Source organism: Homo sapiens, chromosome X (assembly GCF_000001405.40).
Source record: "Homo sapiens chromosome X, GRCh38.p14 Primary Assembly".
In the NCBI taxonomy this organism is placed as follows: domain Eukaryota; kingdom Metazoa; phylum Chordata; class Mammalia; order Primates; family Hominidae; genus Homo; species Homo sapiens.
The window spans coordinates 131,033,166-131,052,660 of record NC_000023.11 but is presented as its reverse complement, the minus strand read 5'-3'; the positions used below and the strand labels follow the sequence as shown (position 1 = coordinate 131,052,660).

The 19,495-nt window shown below is 43.3% G+C and overlaps 1 long non-coding RNA gene across 1 annotated transcript in view; it reads left to right on the top strand.

Moving 5' to 3' along the window:
- The window catches only part of LINC01201 (long intergenic non-protein coding RNA 1201), a 41,678-nt gene that overhangs the window by 5,486 nt on the left and 16,697 nt on the right, over positions 1 to 19,495 (top strand). The window contains exon 2 of the long non-coding RNA NR_126350.1: positions 12,808 to 12,948. This is a non-coding gene — a long non-coding RNA (long intergenic non-protein coding RNA 1201). The remainder of the gene's footprint in view (positions 1 to 12,807; positions 12,949 to 19,495) is intronic.

The following is a 19,495-nucleotide window of genomic DNA, read 5'->3' as shown; positions in this document are numbered from 1 at the left end:
TCTCATATGTATTTTCAATCTGAATTGCATACAGCTTTGGGAGGTTGGCAGGACAGAGATTAGCACAACCCTCATTTTATAGAGGAAGAAATTAAAGTTTGAGGAAGGGGAGTGACTTGCCTAAAGTCACTGCCTTTTTTGTTTGTTTGGAACCTGTTCTTGAAGCACTTTTGTGCTTCCTTCTTTTGTACATGGCTCCCTCTCACACTACCCATATCCAGCCTAAAATCTGGTCTTTAGATCTTATATGTCTCTTGACCCCTCCCTTGGACTCCAAAAACTGGAGACTTTCACCTTGCTGAGAATTCCAAACCCCCTAGAAAGCCTGAGAAACTCCCCAGCTAAGAACATTTTATTCTTATGAGATGCATTCTGAAGTATTTAGGAGTGAAATGTCATGATATCTGCAACATATTTTCAAGTATATATATATATATGACTCTCTCTTTCTCTCTCCCTTTATCTATATATATATATATATATAGATAGAGATAATTTATTGTGCTATTATGTATACACACACACACACACACACACACACACACACAAGTATAAGTTAAGGAGAATCTCCTCCCAGGCAGCCACCCCACTGGTCTACGCTAAAATCTGAGTGTTAGTGGTGCATGCATCTCATGGGGCTCTACCTCAGGACCCTATCAGGATGACCCAGCCCCAAACACAGAACTAGCTCTGCAGGAGGGGAAGGCTACACCTGTGAGTGGTTGTGATGTCTTAGATGGAGCTTGGGTGCTGGTAAGTGGCTGCCTGTACTGCATGGGAGTTTAGGGTGAAGGATTTGATGGTAAAGCAGCTTAAATTAGAGCCTGAGAGGAGTCCTTAAACAAATTCTAATTAGAGCTGGCAATTTTCCAAAAATAATTTTTTCTTTAATTTCAAAACTTGCTTATCAGGGTTGAAAGTGCCATTAGAGATAATCTAGTCCAACCTCTTCACATCACGGGGGCTGGTGGGAAGGGGACACTGAGATCCAGAAAGGGAAAGTGACTTACCCAACATCATCTAGCAAGTTAGTGGCTGAAAAGGGACTAAAAGCCAGGTGTCCAGCATCCTAGTCCAGGGCTCGGTCCATTACATCATGCTGCTATCCCACTTTGGCTTCCTGGGTTCTTGAAAGGTCATCTGCCCACCCCAGGGCTTGCTTTCTTCAGACCAGCGTGGCACTTGGGGGATTTGCAGTCAGTGACAGTCCCTGCTGCTGGGAGCAGAGCCGGGCGCCTGAAGATGGCACCTGTCACATCCCACTGGAATGAATTACCTCCCTCTGAAACTGAGAGGGCCAGGCGGAATCTGGGAGCGGCACCTTGAGAGCAGAGTCAGTCCTGGCCCACGCGGCTAGCGTGCCATGGACATTCAAGGCAGAGAAGGTAATGGAAAATATCCTGAGCACTGTTTGCTGGGGAGCTTTCCACCTCTCTTGGACCCCAAGTGATTTATTGATTATTTTAGGGGCAGCCACTCTGGTTTATTGGTTTATCTGCCATTACTCGTGAGGGGGCGGGGTGGGGGGGCTGCCTGCCCGTTGCGTACCCTGGTCTGTCTTCTCACAGGATTGGTTCATGGGACAGCTTAGCTGGACCCTCGTGAGTCTGTCGGGATTAATGGCATTTGACTGTAGATCATGAGAAATCACATCAGTTGCTGTGGGTGGAGGTGGATGGAGCAAGCAGGAGGAGGGCAGAGGAGAAGAAGGAAGATGAGCAATAGCGGGAGGGAAGAAAAAGGACGAGGGAGAAGGGGGAGAGGAAAGTGCAATAAAAGAATTCTCTTGTACAACAACCGCTGACATTTCTGAGCCTGTAGCTTCCCTCGCTTTTAATCATTCCCTTCATTAAGTGCCATTTGTCAATGCAAATAGGTCTTTCTCCATTATAACTCAATCCTGGGACAACCCACACCTTAAACAAAGATGCAAGGCTAGCTCCAGAGCCCTAGGTTTCCCTAACTAAGGGGCTGTTTGCCCTTCCCTCCCTGTATTCCTCCATCCCAGGAGCCATAAGATTGGTATGTGAACACCAAAATTGACCCTGGGACAAAAGATACCAAGGACTGACTTTAACTTCTGAGCTACTTTGGGTCTGGCCCCCACCCAAGGACCCCCTCTCCTGACTTCTGTGGCCCAAAACCCTCTCCTGCTTTCAAGCACCCAGGGCTTATAACCGTCCTGCTGTTCCACCCCCCAGATCCCAGGAGAGTTATGAGATTGAAAACTAAGCGGTAAGGCAGGAAGGTGCCATCAGAGATGCATCTGCCTATGACCAGAGAGCAGCCATGCTGGAGAAGAGGGGCTGTAGCTGAGGCTGGGTCAAGTGGCAGGACGGCCATTTGACGCATTTGGCAGGCTGTGCACACATGTTGAAGAGGGGAAGACCAGGTTATATTCAGAAAGCCCTTCCTTTTGCCCCTAATAAGGAAATTTCTGGCCAGATCACAGGACTCTGGGTCCCTAGTGCCTTAGCAAATAACAGGAACATTTAAGTCTCTGAGTGACTGTGGACCCTGACTTCATTTTTAAGATTGGCTCTGGGGTGGCAATTTCAGTGACAGGGAAGGAAGAGATTGTGTAACATGGATATAGGTCATGGACTGTAGGCCCTCCTCACTGGGCCAGGCTCTGGGGCCTTGTATCCTGGGACTGGGGCTACAGCTCTCTGCCATCTCCCTAGGGAAAGAGCCGCCAGTATATTCTCCAAATCACACACCTTGCTGTCCTCAGAGACAGTCCCTCAAATCTACTCAGTGATCATGAGATGCCCTGAAAGTTATGGGGTCAACAGTGGTGATATTAGTGCCCAAGGCCAGGTTCAAGGACCAAGTGCAGAACGTCGGCTCCTCTGGCTTTTTTGTCCTTTCCTCCCACCTCAAAGGAAAAAAGGGATCCTCTCTGGGGTTCTCCTCACTAGTGTTCTGAAGCTCGGCCCCTTCTGCTGCTGCCACCTCAGCCACCAAGAAACCTCTGACCCTCTTCTACCTTCAGCCTCTTCTCTTCCGCTAACTCCTTCCTTCCTACACACATCTCAAACCTCCCCGTAAAGCATAATCTCTCCCTTAGCCTTGTTCTACCTGCTCCTGGGTCTGCAAAACTTCTCAAATGTGTAGTGTCTACCATCAACTCACTATTTTACCTCTTCCCACTCCACTTCCACTCTTGAGGCCTTCCTAATTCTAGATGCAATGGCTCCTTGTCAACTCTCAGCCCTCTTGGCTACTTGACAGCCATTTGCTACCCCATGATCTCTTTCTCCTTATTAATTGAAAACTCCTCTGCTCTCAGCCAAACCTCCCAGGTCTCATCTCTCAGAATTCTTCTTCTGTCTGTTCAGTAATCCTCTCTGTCATCTACTTATTCATCTTTTCTTTCCCTGTGGGCTTCTTCTTCCCTGTAGCCCACAAAAACATTGAAACGTTCCTATATGGAAACAGTCTTCCCTCAACCCGGCGTCCCCTTCTAGCTATCATCCATGCTTCCTTTCTCAGCCTTAGTCCTTAACACCTTGAAAGAGTATTCTAGATATGCTCACCTTACGTTTCCCCAAACATACCTGCCATCCACGGCAAGATGGCTCCTACCCCCTCCATACATGCACGTGCGTGCATGCACGTGCAGACACACACAGCCCCTCTCAAAGCAGTTACGAATGTTTTTTTTGGAGGCCTGCTCCAAGGGGACACATCTCTGTCCTATTTTGATTTTCATTCTCTGCAGAATGCTACATTGTAAGTCTCTATTTATTGAAACTCACTCTTCCCTTGGCTCTGCGGACACTGCTATACTGGTGTTCTTACCTCTGATTTCTCCTTCTGGCTCTGCATTCTCGTTTGGTACCCTAAATGGGAGCATTGCTCAGGTCCTGTCCTCAACGCTCTATTCTTATGTGGAGGGGCTCATCTACTCTGATGGCCCTTATCTCTCTGGATGGCTCACAATACCTAAAATAGTGTCCTCCATATAGTAGACACTTAAGTAATGTTTACCTAATTGATTAACGTTTGTTAATTGCACAATGCCTGGTACATTTCAAATGTTCTGTAAAGACTATTATGGGGGATTTTACAGTTTACAAGCATTTCCTGTATATTTGCCTGTCTTCATCCTCATCATAACCCTGTGAGGATAATTTTTTCTTATTCTCATTTTTATAGATGAGAGAAGAGGAGGGAGCTAATGTTTGTTTTCTGCCTATTCTGTGCTAAGTGCTTAATACATATTTTAATTTAATTTTCACAACAGCACTGTGAAGTAGGTGTTCTTAGCCACATTATACAGATGGGAAAACTGAAGCTCAGAAAGGAATTCAAGATCACAAGGAGCATATAATTTGCCTCCTCTGCTATTTCATTGTTCTGTAAATTTGATCATACAAAATTTAGTGAGCAATACTGGGGAGGCATATAAAAGGTATCATACAGTGATATTATAATTATTGTTTACATATGAGTATTTTTTGGTTTGCATTTGTATGAAATTTAATGTCATGCATATAAAAAGCTGAAGAGGAAAATAAAACCCTTCTATTTCCAAACATTCTCTGCCTTTCTCCCTGCATATTATAATAAGAAGAACAGATTATTAAATGTTTACCATGTGCCAGGCATTATGTTTAGCATTTTACATGTGTGCTTTCATCTAATTCTCACCACAACACTATGAGGTGGGGGCTATTATTATATCTCAATTTATACATAAGGTAATTGTGCCTCATAGGAGTTAAGTAACTGGTTCAATGACCCCTAGTTAGTTTGTGAGGTAACTGAAATTTTAAATCAGGTTGGTCTGACTCCAAAGTGAATATTCTTTAAGTGATACCAGACTGCCTTTCTAAGAGGATAGGGAAACCAAGTCTCAGAGAGATTGTGAGGTCAAATCTCCTGACTCTACATTTTTTTCCAGCTGAGATGCTTCAGCTGCTAGCATCTCTTTGTTGAAGGGACTGCTTTTATTGTCAATAATCTTTCTATGTCTGTGGTCTGTCTCCTCAACCACATTGTCAGCTCTGCCAAACCTCTTTAGCTCCCCTACAGAGGGTCCTCACTAAATACTTGTCAATTGATAAGCATGGGGCTCTCTTCAGTTGAGAGAATTATTAATAAACCGTCAGGCTTTGACAAAGCCCTTCTGATCTCCAAAGGAGTTGAGCCCTTGGAGCTTAGGAGATGTATCAATTCCTCGCCTTCCTGCAGCTTGAAGTCAGGAGCCCACACTGCCCGCCTCCGCACAGCATCCATTCTCCAGGGAGCCTCTATAGCGTCAGAATCATTTCACCGAAGACTAAATTATGTGTGTGACTCTGGGAGGGTGAGGTCTCCGTAAACGGGGAGAAGAATGTGGGCTGTGATTCTGCATGCAGATGGACCCTGGGGATGTTTCGCACCATCTGAGATGATGTGTCAACCTCTGGCAGTGGCACTCCATAGAACAAGCTTTAAAGATTGATCATTACTGTTATTATTGGGAATATTAATATTATTTTTACATTCGTACAGTGAACTCCTGTTTACGCAAAAGGCTCCTGCACAAGAATTCATTTTTTTCGTTTGTGCTGGCCTTCCACAAAATCTTTTGGGCTTCAATATTCCCCCAAAGAAATATTCCTCTGTCCAGCTTTTGGGAAAGAGAACCACCCCAGGGAAACAGAAACAGCTGAGACCCTGAGAACGGGAACCTTAGCTGGCTGGGACTGAAGGCCAACAATTGATCCTGCTGAGCAATGAAATACATTTGGAGCCTGAACACAAATCCCCAATCTCCTTCCTTCTCTTTGCCTGTTCCCAGAGCTGGCGGGACCTCCCACCCCAAGCAGAATCCGTAGTTCCTCCCGCAATCAGAATTCACTCTTCCTCGTCCCTTCCCCCATCAATGGCCTCAGGGACACTTATGTGGAAGCCACCAATTATCTCTTCCCCTCCTCTAGACCAATTTTCTCATGCATTTGTATGAGTTCACTTAGCATCCTGCAAAGAGACAGGCAGTAGTAATAATCACAGCTAACATTCATGGAGCTTTTACTATAAGGAAGGCACTATAATAAGCACTTTGCATGCATAATTTCTCTTCATTCTCATAATAGTCCTACGAGGAAGGTTTATTTGGATCCCCACTTTAAAGAGGAGGATCTTTAAAGTAGAATTTCTAAGTGAGTAAGCAGCCTGCATTAGCCTAGCTAATGCAGAGCCAGGATTCAAAGCCAGATCTATGAACCTCTCCAGTATACTGTCTCTTAGTATCAGCTTCCATTTCTTGGATACAAACAGTGGGACCCAGAGATTGGAAGGCCGTGTAGCATTCAGAGGAAAGAGTCTCAGGAAGTCAGGAAATAGTTTTCCTCCAATTTCTGCCAGTAACAGGCTAGATGAGTCTGGGTGAGTCACTAAAATTCCCCTTTTTCTGAATCTGCAAGCAGGGTCCACAGTGTGTGAGATGCAAAAGATATGAGCCAAGGAAGGTTAATCTCTTCCAAATCTATAGAGTTTTAAAAAAGCACCATGCAAATGCAAAGTGTTCCTTATCATAATCCTTAACATTATTATTCCAGCCTATTCATCTACCAATGAACCTGGGATAGAGTGCCTGGCTCTGCCCCTGGATTCTGGTGCCATTTAAGTGCCAAGACAAATGGTCTCAGGGAGTCAGGGGTGATCCATTATCTGGATATGGATTATTTCTCAGGAGTAAATTGTTAGCCCTGTCAGGTGGCTGATGAATTCTCCCACTGCACCTGGGGGCTCATCACTCTGCATGGGACGTGCAGGGAATGCAAGCAGCGCAGCAGCTGGAGTCGCAGTGTGACTCTGCAGATGGGGTCTTGGGGGCGGGGAACAAGGATGTGTTGGTTAGGTTCCAGGGAGCAGCAAACGACCCCACCCATCCTTGAGTGAAAAGACAGATAATGAACCCCACCCACCCACAGTCCAGCCCAGGGCAGAAAAGAGTAACTCCTTCCTCCTCCTGATGCTTGAAGCATCTTTGGGGAGAACAAAGCAGAAAAGAGGCTGACAGATTCATACACAAGGAGCTACTGACAGAGAGATGAGAAGAATGGGCAAGAGAAAGAGAAATAGAAAAACAAGACATGGAGAAAGGGATAAAAAAGACAGGGAAAGAAAATGAATAAAATAAATAAAGGATCACAGAAAAGAGACACATGGAGGAAGAGGAATACAGTTAAAAGAGAAACCCAGAAATAGGAGCTAAGAGGAAAAGAAGAAAGAGAAAGAACTAGCTGGGTGCGGTGGCTCACGCCTGTAATCCCAGCACTTTGGAAGGCAGAGGTGGGCAGATCACTTGAGCCCATGAATTAAAGACCAGCCTGGGCAACATAGCAAGACTCTGTCAATATAATTTTTCTTTAATTAGCAAGGCATGTTGGCATGCACCTATAGTTCTAGCTACTCAGGAGGGTGAGGCAAGAGGATTGCTTGAGCCCAAGAGGTCAAGGCTGCAGCAAGCTATGATCATGCCACTGTGCTCCAGCCTGGGTGACAAAGTGAAACACTGTCAAAAAAAAAAAAAAAGCAAAGAAAGAAAGAAAGAAAAAAGCAGACTCAGAAAGAATCCCCAAAAATGGGAAAGGTATATAGAGAAAGAAAAAAATAAGAAAAGGGGAAATATATGGGGAAAGACAAATCTAGAGAGAAAACAAATAGGGGAAGAGAAAGGGGAAGAAACAAATAAAATAGAAAAGAAAAGTATACAGAGAAACAGAAAAATAGAACAACCAGAGATAAAGGAACACAGTGAAAGAAAAAGGGATGAGGGAGATATGAATACTGGGAAAAAAATAGGTGAAAAAAGTTAAGAAACATAGAAGAGGAGATTGAAGTCTTTAGGAGGACCAGAAACAGTTTTTTCCTCCCTCCCTCCCACTTTCACTGTTAGCCATTCTTGTGGGATAAAATCAGTCAGACACAGACACACATTCTGAGGCAAATAAGCACATGAAAAATAGTACATCTGGACACAGAGGAGCTGAAAGACTTGAGATGTAGGCAGCGACAGACTCACAGTAGAGAGAGCCAACCTGAACACAAGAATGGGCCTCAGGCAGAAACTGACAAGGAACTAGATATACCACTGCAGAAGATGACATAAAGGCATCTTAAAAGATGGACACATGAATAGACAGGTACACAAGCAGATATCCGCCAGGATGGGAGGAGGAGGTTTGGCCTAGCTCCGTTCCTCCTCTCTTCTCTTTGCCTTTGTGAAATACTCTAATAATGGACATTTACCATTCTGGGTCTCCTGCCCTTGGGATTTTCCTTTAGGCTTTGCGAAGGTTGGTAGCAGTGTGTTTCATTTAAATAAACTCACTCCTGCTAGGGTCTGTTAGTCACTGTGTCTCCCCTCCTAGGAACACACGTCTCTCATCAGTTTAAATGATCATATCCAAAAGACCCCTTCAGGCATGAGTGTAAATGGCTGAATATCAGGCCCTTGGCTAAGACAGAGTTGCAGTCTGTCTTGACACTTACTCCAAGACTGGAACTTTTTGCCCCTAGTATGCCACGATCCTCCTTAACTTTACTGGACCTTCCTTTTCACCTCTGCAGTTTGAAGCAGTTGAGAAGGGGAGGCTATGCATCAGGATCCGCACCCCTACTTGAATAAGATGAACGTCATAAGATTTCCTTGGTTAAAAAGTGTTTCTTGCGAAAGCGAAGCTTGAAAACCTCGGGGTTACACAGAGCCAGATGAATTCTAAGGGTCCTTTCAGCTCTGACATTCTGAAATTCTATGACTAACAGCTAATTTGTTCGAATCTAAACCCGCAGTAATTGCACAGAACTTGATTGAATTTTCTGAGCAAACGGCGTCACTGTCTGCCCCAATAAGTATTTAGCCATGGCCCCAGTTTATTGATTTTGTGCAGTATCAATATTTCTTGGTGCAGTTTCCAGCACTGACTGGTAGGTGCATGATGACGTGAAACATGTAGGCTCAAGATGCCCACCCAGGAAAGCCACAGGTGGTTGTCGCTGTGTCCACCTGGCTTGGGCTGGCACACAGACTGCACCAACCTCTCTGGCTAGTGCTGGGCACATGGAGGGGTAGCACGACTGCCTTTGAAAGGGGCATGCTGGTTGGGTGGGTGGATCGGGTTGCCCTAAAAGCTCAGGGATGCTGTAGCCAACGGGTCACAAAGAGAATAGCAGTGAATGGGTCTTGCTTTGTACAACTTCACTTTGATACAAATCATCCCTGAAGGCTACTGCCTCACTTAGTATTTCATTCATTCGTTCATTCTACAGAGAGTGCATACTCTGTGCCAAGCTCTGTGCTAGAACTAAGAATATAGACATGAACAAGATACAGTCCAATATCTCCCAAGAATCTCATTTGTGAATCAGAATTGTGGTACAGTCAAGGGGGCAGTATGTGAACCAAAGTCAAGAAATATTGATGCCGCTCAGCATCAACAAACTTAGGCTATGGATAAATATTTATGAGAAGAAATAATTTCGTAGGAATATTACTGTATATGCACACTTTTAATTATTCCCACTGGCAAAACTGATGAATCAGAGACCTTTTTTTGTATACAGTATTCAAGATGCAAAGAAGTCGTATAATTAGTTCAGGTAAAATAACTTGATTGTTTCCTAAGTACAACTCTGAAAAAGTACAAGTTAATTTAATACTTTTTGTTTATCTTTTAGTTACACATTCTCCATGATAGAGTTTTATTTGTTGGTGATGGTTTGAGAGCATTGTATTTTGGAGAGAATTAAAACATTTACTGGAAGAGAAAGGAAGATTGGTTCCTCTCTTTGATGCTGCCATGACACTAAGCCTGTCATTCCCAAACAGAGATACATTCGTGTATGTTTGTGAGTTCTCTTGATCATTTGTCTTTTATATATCTAGACTTTCATACATGCACCAACCATACACAAAGCACCTTCTCTGATGCGTGCACTGGGCCACGAGTGGGAACACTGGAAAGATTAGAGCATAGCCCCTGCCCTTGAAGGGCTTACGCTCCAGAAGGGGAGCCAACAAATAACTCGAGGACTTTATGATGAGTGGCATAACAGAGGTGTGGACAAAGGGAAGCTGAGAAGAACAGGGACTAAGAGATGAGGGTATGTGGAGAAGCTTTAAGAGACGAGTGGTCTATGGTGGGGAGTGTTGGGGAAGGTCTGAAGGTCAACCCTATTCATCATTGTGGGGCTAGACGGAGCCATCCTCTTTCTCCAGACTCTGTTTTGTTTTGTTTTGTTTTAATCAGTAGAATGTATTTGTGAGAACCACAGAACTACACTGCAAGCAGATCAGTCTGTAGCTGGGATTAGCCTGGTAGCCTGCATCAGTTAACTGCTTCAATTTAGGATGAAATATAGCCACTCCTTTTGAAAAACACAATGCAGGGAGGGGGGTGGTCGGAGACTGGTTCCTATCCCCTAAACTTAGCTTCTTGAAAATCAGATTTTCCTTACCCACCCAGCACTCCTATGTAGCAGAGTTATTCTTTTATGGGGGCAAAGTGGTTTGAGTAGCACTGGGTATCATGGTGGCTTTCAAATTACTCACATTCCAAAGGAGGTTTAATGATTTCCAAGATAATTGGTTGTAGAAATAAGTCCTTCTAAAAACCCAGCAATAGAATGTTCATGATGCCACAGGATGATTCAGAACATTTGGCCTTAATTACTTTGATTGTCCGCCAGGATTTAATATATGAATATTACATTGCGATCTTCAATTTAATTTCTTGTGTAAATGGATTGTGGCAGAATCCTGTAGTCCTGAACTGGCACATAACTCAGCGTGGGAGACACTATCTTAACTCATCTCATTACTCAAGCCATTTGTTGTCCTTCAGGCTTTGACAGCCAGGAGATGGGAAAGTAGCAGAGGTGATGTGATCTCTCAACCTGGGTCCAGACAGACATGAGCCATAGTCTCTACCGATTGCGTTGTTACACAGACACAGACAGCACTTATTTTCAGAAGAAGAAAAAAATGCCCCCGCCAATGTGCAGCTGTGTGCTCTGGTCTTTCTTAGCATAATGGAGTGGAAAAAGCTGGGGCATGCATGCAAGAGACCTGAGTTCTAGTCCTAAGTTGGCCACTAACTTGCAGTATGATGGACAAGCCGCTTAATTTCTCTGAGCTTTTGATTCCTCATCATTAGAACTACATAATCTCCAAGCGCTTTCCAGAGTGAAGGTTTTCTGACGTATTAATAGCACTTGGCAAATCTGACAGTTTTGGCACCATGGCTAAAAGAAGGTTGTTTCTATCCATCCTGTGAATAATAAGCAGCCCCCCAAGAATGGGCAAAATTTGAGGGAAGGGAGAGAGAGAGACAGGGCAGATAAGTGGGAGGGAAGAAGGAAGGGAAGGTGGAGAGAACAGCCCTGCAGCCTTACTGAGCTATCCCTCAGGGCCCAGGTGAGCTTGTTAGAACCTTAGCAAAATGGGGGACATTTGAGCCTGGGAAGCTTGATGGAAATTAGAGGAAGAAAATGAGACTCAAAAAGCATTAAATGGGAAGCCACAGTGTTGGAAAATTTATTTGTACCACATATAACAGAGAGCTTGCATCTAGAATGTATAAAGAACTCCTAGAAATGAATATGAAAAGGACAATCTAGTAGGATAAAATGGACAAAAGACTTAAATGGGAATTGTACAAAAGAGTATATCCAAAAGGCCAATGAACATATGAAAAGATGCTCAACCTCATTAGTCACCAGAGAATTGCAAATCAAACCACAATGAGATACCACTGCACACCCACCAGAGTGATTAAAATGTAAAACTCTGACAATACTTACTGTTAATAATGATTTGGCACAATGGAAGAGTGCAAATTGATACAAACTTTGAAAAACTGGCAGCATCTAGCAAATGGAACACGTGCTTACGACTCAGTGATTCCACTACTAACAGAAATGCAGGGACATGTGCACCAAAAGTCAAACAAAAATAACCATAATAGTGTTAGTCAAACAGTCCCAAACTGAAAATGCCCATCTGCAGTAGAATGGTTAACTCAGTTGTGGCATATTCACAAAAGGGAATATTATACAGCATTGAGAAGGAACAATATCAGTTTTATGCAACAACATGGATTAATCTCACAAACATAATATTGAATGAAAGAAGCCAGAAACAAAAGCGTACATACTGAATTATTACATAAAAGTCAGTAACTGGCAAAGCTATAATGTTTAGTGATGCATGCTAAGGTGTACAAGTCTAAATAAAAGCAAGGAAGTGATTTTTGGAAAAGTCAGAAAAGTTGTTACCTTTTAGTAGGGGAGAAAGGAGTTATGATTAGGGAAAGGACACAAGTTGGGCATTGGAGTGCTGATAATATTCTATTTTTAACTGGGTAATGATTAATATGGGTGTTTCATTGAACAAGTTGTGCATTTATGATTTATGCACTTTTCTTTATGTGTGGCATATTTCACAATTTAAAAAATAAAGCTTTAAAAATGCAGAGATTGAAAAAAGTCAAAGCTAAATCTTTGTTTCAGACTAATGCAACTCCAATTCCTATCCATTCTCTCAGGACCCTGCAGATTCTAGACTTTTGGCAAAGAGAGGACGAGAGTTTGTGTCTCATTTCTCTCAGTATCTGCCTGTCACAATCTTCCAAATTTAAAGCTAACCTGACCCCAGTTGGTACCTAACAGCCACCAGCCAATTGACTGGAGTCAAAGACACCTTGTTCCTGCTACTTTCTAGTTCCCTCTCATTTCCCCATTCTCAAACTATTCTTGTTCCATTTCAGTTCCATCTTTCTCCTGAGTCTTTATTCCGTCTTCTGTTTGCAGCCCTGTTCCTTCCTTTTGGACTAATGGCTGAGTGACCCAACTGGATTTCCTTGGCTTGAACCTGAGCAAGCCCTCTCTCTCTAAAGACTTGAATGCCTACTCCCTTCACTGAGTGGTTTCTTCTGTTCCTGGCCAACTCAGGTAGGGTATCTACCACCTCCCCATCCCTAGATCTTAAAGGGTTAAAGTGCCTTATCTCAAATCCTTAGGGCCAGATGTTTCGAAATTAAGAATTTGGGGAATTTTATCAAGGTAATCATGTGTATTTGCCAATATCACATAACACCTCTAGCAGGTTGCAGTATAGCTCCCCATTATCAAATACATTAATATTTTTGTCATGAAATATATGAACATTCACACTAAGTGGGATAAAGAAAGACTATTATAATATAAGTTAAACTGAGTTTTAATGTCAAACTTATGAGAACGTTTTTGGTTTTCAGAGCTTTGTGGTTTGGGAAGTGAAAATAAGAAATAGGAGCCCAATGCTTGTTTGGTGGATGGATGGAAGGATGGAAACATAGATGTACACAATGAATTACATGTGTTTATCATCTCAAGTGACAAATGTGCATTTAACAAGAGTCTTCATCACTTTAACCAATTGTGGGCACATCAGAATCCATCGCTGGCAAGAGGAACACTAATAGAAAAATCCACCACATAGGTCTGCTACCAGATCATGGATGGCCTGCCTGGGGTTAAGTGGCAATCCCTGGGCCACTCTTCTGCATAAAACATCCATCCAGCCCTTTTTCCTGGCTATGAGTGAGGTAGGCCTAACTAGAAGGGAAAGTTATGGGCATGGCAGGTACCTGGGGCTAGTCTTTTGGGTCCAGTTGGAAAGGAATGGATGGGCTTCAAGCACCAATTTCAGGTGGCCCTCCTTAAATAGTATTGCTCTCAGCAAGGCTTTGCAAAGGTATTGAGTGGAATTAGTTCGAGATCACCCTTCCCAGCAAGTACTCAGAGTGCAGTAAGTATATATTTCTAGGAAAGGGTACAGCTAGGTGTTTTTTTACTTCCAGCCACCTGGGAGTGTGGATACTATATAGCTTATTGTCCTGGGATGCTTCAGAGGCAAAGCAGTGAGTTCCAGGAGAGGCTAGCAAGGGACTAGAACAGAGTCAAAGCCAAACCTTCAGGCTTCCCAACCCAGGAGACACCAAAGAGTCATGGGAGACCTCATCAGGAGAAAACCACGCAGTTCCAGGACCGATGCCTAGAGGAGAAGCTCAGGGGAAGGTGGATTTGAGGAGAGGTTAGGAGGCTCAGCCTTAGAGCTTCAGGAAACTGGGTTGTTTGCTCCTAGAAGATGGAAACTGAGTTACCAGCTAGGCATCTCCCATAGCTCTGCCCCAGGCTTTTCAATCTTAAAACAATAAGACAGGACTTACGTGAGCTCTTTCATCTGTTTCTGCTCTGCTTTCCAGAGCTCATAAATCTATGATTCTCTTTTAAATAATCTTTGTTTTTTTTTGTTTGTTTTGTTTTGTTTTTATTATACTTTAAGTTTTAGGGTACATGTGCACATTGTGCAGGTTAGTTACATATGTATACATGTGCCATGCTGGTGCGCTGCACCCACTAACTCGTCATCTAGCATTAGGTATCTCTCCCAATGCTATCCCTCCCCCCTCCCCCCACCCCACCTTGTTTTTTTCTCATAAGAGTAATACATGCTCCTTGTTGAAACTTTGAAAAGTCAGGTAAATATATAAATATTTAGACTTGCCTATCATCCCACCCACCTCTCACACATTTGCGTGTATTACCTTTCTGCTTGCTTGCTTTTATTTTCCATGTCTTTATAAAATTGTGATCATAGACTTTTGTATTTTGAGTTAGACACTTAAGTATATTGTGAGCATTTCCCATGTCACCACAAAAGCTATCATTCTAGTCTAATTTGAACATCCATCAGACATTGTGGGGCACACTTAGCAAGGATAAAATGTGTACCCTGCCCTTATGGAACTTATACTCTTGTTGAGAAGATGAGGTTGATATATATGGAACCAATAGTGATAAATACAAATGGAATATAATGAAATGTCACTTTGAGGGATAGGCTGGAAGGACAGTAAGAAGCCAAAAGAGGGAAAGACTGATGTGGGCAGCACTAGTAAGGGGAGGCTCCTGGAGAAGGCAGGACTTAAATTGGCCTTTAAAGGATAAGGAAAAGGGGAATGAGAAAGGTAGAAGCATGAAGAAAACAGACACAATGGGGGAAAGCTGGATTGAGTAATCCCAAACCCTTTATACTTATCATTGTTGTTGATAATACAGAGCTACCCAGGGCCAGGATTTCAGGACTGTTCAGGGTCCCACCTAATATATGAACAAATAAACCCAGGTCTCTAACTTAAAGGGGATTTGGAGGCTAAATGCATGAAAAACGAAGCACTGGTATTAATATGGCAGTAGCTTAGACTCAGACCTTTTTGCATTTAGTAACTGACTTGCTTCTCTGCTGCATCTTGCACAGTGATGGCTCAAACATCACAGAGTCACCAGTTGGACAACTTCCTAGCTAGATAGCAGATTACATGACTCCAGAGCCCTGGTCACAGTCATCTGACTACTGTGGGTTGGTACAAGAAGAGGGTAAACAGAGAGAAAGCCCATGTCACAAGCCCCCTTCTTCATACACTGAAGACACAGCCAAAAACTTGTTGTAAATGTTAATTAAGCCATTAATTTGTGATCTGAAGATCTCCCCAGTGAGGCTAGGAGTTTCGTTAGGACAGAAAATCAGTGGTTTGAAAAACAGTAGAAATGTACATGAAATACCACAGTTTAAGATTCATTTGGGATGCATCAGAAATGTCCTTGCCTATGGTCAGGAGACTTGCCACTAACTAGCTACATGATTTTGACTAAATTCTATTACTTCTTGGAGTCCATCTCAGTTTTCTTCCTCATCTGTAAAATGGGAACTATTTCAAAGTTCCCTTTTGGCACCAAAATTCTATGAACCTATAATTTCTTTGGACCACCACCACTTTTCAGATTTCAGGATCCCCTACAACAATGCAAATAACCCTAAGAAAAAGCTACATCTTACCCTGTGTTGCCAGTCACCACCATACCTGGGAATCGAAGTCCTTTGGGGAATGGGACCAGGAGAGCAAGCAGGCCCAGCCAGAGGGGAAAGGCACAAAAAGGAGAAGTTGGTGGACCCCAAGATGTCACCAGTTAAGCAGAGAGAGGATCTTGATACCTCCTCCTCTATCTGCCTGTCCCCTGAGTGCCCAGCAGCAGGCTGTGCTTTACTGCATGCCTACGTAGGTGCCTGCTCACCACAGGGTGCCCTAGCTGCCAGCATGCTATTCCAGGCCAATAGGAGAACCCTGAGGTGAAGTATCCTGGGGCCAATCATAGGTGGAAATATCTCTTTAATGGCAAGAGAGACTGTATCTTTGGCTCCTTTTCATTGGTTCAGGCCAACTGAAGGCTCTCTGGACTCTCAGCCAATGCCAAGCCATCAGCCAACAGGAATGGGCTTTGCTGCTGGATCTTGTTTTCGTCTAGGGCTGATGGGTAGCCCTGCCCCAAGGGCTGCCTTGTCTCTTCATTGTCATCCCTGACTGAAAACTTTTGCCATGAACACAGAAGGCATGAGCAGTGGGACTTAATCGAGTCAGCTCAGAGAGAGGTAGGCATGCTTGGGGCCAGGGGCCATGCCTGGGCCCAGTCCCTGCAGGTGAGTGCAGGTGAACCAGCGAAGGAGACAATAAGCAAGTAGAATTGGTGGGCATGGGCACTATGAGATTAAAGCTAAGGGCTGATCCTGACCGATCAAACCCTTCCTTCCCACAAGCCATGAGTATCTGAGTAGCTTGTCCACAACCCTATGGTTCCCTCTTTACTCTTTCTCTGTAGCCCCAACCACAACCAGGGAGGGGTTCCTCCCAAGAAAGTAAGAGAAGCTTATTGGAGAAGGTGTGCCGGCTCCCACTTGCAACCTGCATTCCCTGACTTAGGATGCCCGCAATGATCAGAGATATAGACTTGGTGACTCTGGCCTTCAGAGATACATGGATTCCATAATATTCACTTCTAACATCTCAGACTATAGTCTGACTATCTCCTCATATGCTTTAAGGAAGTCTAGGGTTGTGGGTTCGATCCTGGGTAAGTTGGATAGCCTTCTTCACTTTGGTCTCTGATCATTGACACAATTATTAGTCCCACCCAAGGGCAAAATCTCTAACCTGAACAGCTATTTAAGCAATGTGTACACAGGAGGCAGAATGAGAGAGTATGGAGGGTACAGTGAAAAGCCTTCCCTGTTTCTGGAAACATTCAGTCTTACATCAAACACTCACTGAATGCCTTTTGTGAGGCAGACACTCAACTAGATACTAAGATAACAAAAAGGAATAAGACACATGAACTTTTGGTGAATCCCACCAGGGCAGAGCCAAAGGGAAGAGTGTGTTTTAAGCACTGGTGATAGACTACCTTTAAAAATAGACCTGAGATTATAGTTGGCTTTGGAATCCCCCAGACCTAGCCCTTGGTAAAACTGGTCACAAATGTCTGTTTACAATGCCCCTTAAGGTGCTCCTCTATTAAAACTTTCTTTCAGAAAAAAAACTATACTTCAAAATTTATGTAAGACCTTGGGCAAGTCAATTCTCAGTCCTCCCTTCCTTAAAATAACAAGTTTAGGCTCGGGGCTGTGAAGCCCTTTCCAAATCTAATAGATCATCTAGGCGTCTGTAGTAGCAGTCATTTACTCATTAGTATAAATTTAAGTAGCTATGTTCCTTCTCCCTGGATTAGCTACATTTTAAGCTTTGTTTCCAATTGTGGAATGAAAGACTTTGTCACTTAAAAATATTGCAGGGATCTGCCTACAAGAGGGAAAAGAATTTGTGGAAGGGAAATGAAGATTAAAGAGGTTATAATAAACCTCCCCAATATCCTAACATCCTCTTTCCTTGGGCTCTAGGGCCCTGCACTCTGTTGAGGTTAATCCCAACAGATTACTTAGTTACTAATAAAAAGAATCATTAAAAATAAAAAATTAAGCCCTCTTGGGGGCTTACAATGATCTAACACCAAGAAACTGTTCCAACAATGAACCTGAAAAGCCTAGTGAAAAGTTCTGAGGACATATTATACAGGCTCAGGATGCAGGAATTGCAAACAGCACTTTGCCCCTTGCTCTTCCCTCCTGTTTTGGCTTCCTTTGGAGCCTAGATCTCAGTCCTACTGGCCACAGATATTTTGAATGATTCAAGGTCAGGAAAGGGGAAAATGATTCAGAAATGCACATGATTCCTTAAGTACATTTAATTGTAAAATACATCTAATCAATCCGATCACCTGTCTGAACATGGCAGCTAGGAGAAGCAAAGCAAAGCTTTTGCGTTTCACTCCAAACCAAAGTAAGAAGCTAAAGGCGGTAGGGGGAAGGGATAGGATCAATGAATCCAATCAATGGTCTATATTAATGTTTCTTATATGATAGTGCTGATTTGCAGCTTTCCAGGTGCCAAATGGCATCTGGGAAACATTACTCCATCCCCCAATTGACGTAATAATTAGATTGCATAAATGGTTCCTCTGCGCTCAATGCCAGCCCAAGAGACAAATGTTATTGGTGAGCCAATCAATCTTTCCCCCCGTTAAAGTTTCAACCTGCGTCAGCAATTATGCTGTGGAGGTCGAAAGCCACCCAAATGAGTGAAAACTGGCAAAGATGAATTTCAGGAGTGGATTATACTGCACTGTTTCCCAGCAGAGTGTGTATGGTCAGAAACCGGACAGGTACATGAACAGATCTGCAGCTGGATATACCACCAGGGGCCAGAAGAGGAAAGAAAGTCTAGTGGCATCTTCTGCAAAATTTTGCTTTTCTCTATTCCAGTTGTCTCCTTCATACTTAGATAAACCAAGGGGCTGAGGAGAGTATGTCAGGGGAAGGCATTAGTAATTTGTTATTAGTCTTTGTGTTAGGCTGAATAATGCTCCCCCTCCCATAAAATCCACATTCTATTCCCAAGAACATGTGAATATTATCTTCTATGAGACTTTGCAGATGTGATTAAATTAAGCATCTTGATATAGACAGATTATCTTGGACTAGCCAGCTGGGCCCTAAATGCAATCACAAGTGCCCTTATAAGTGTGTCAGAGAGAGATTGCAGACAGAAGAAGAGAAGGCAATGTGACCATGGAGGCAGTGATTGGAGTGGCGTGGCCACCAGCCAAAGAATGCCAGCAACCATCAGAAGTGGGAAGGGGCAAAAGATGCATTCTCCCCTAGAGCCTCCAAAGGGAGCTCAGCCCTGCCAGCACCTTGATCTTGGCTCAGGAAACATATCGGACTTTTGGCCTCCGGACTTTGAGATAATAAATTTCTATTGTGTTAAGCCATAAAATTTGTGATCGTTTGTTACAGCAGCCCTAGGAAACTAATATAGATCTCCATTACTAAGCCCAGGTCATAGGTAGAATGATAAACAACCTTCCTGTTGTATTGTAAAGAGCATCAAAATCCTCCTCTAGCCAAAATAGGCCCTCAATCTATCATGATGCAATGTCAAGGACTAGGAATCCAAAATTCACACATATATGTCAACATTTCTACTTTTTGAGCAATTCTTTCTTGCTACTACATTGCAAACAGTACACATAAGCCCTTGTTTTCCATTAGTCCTTTTGCATGAAT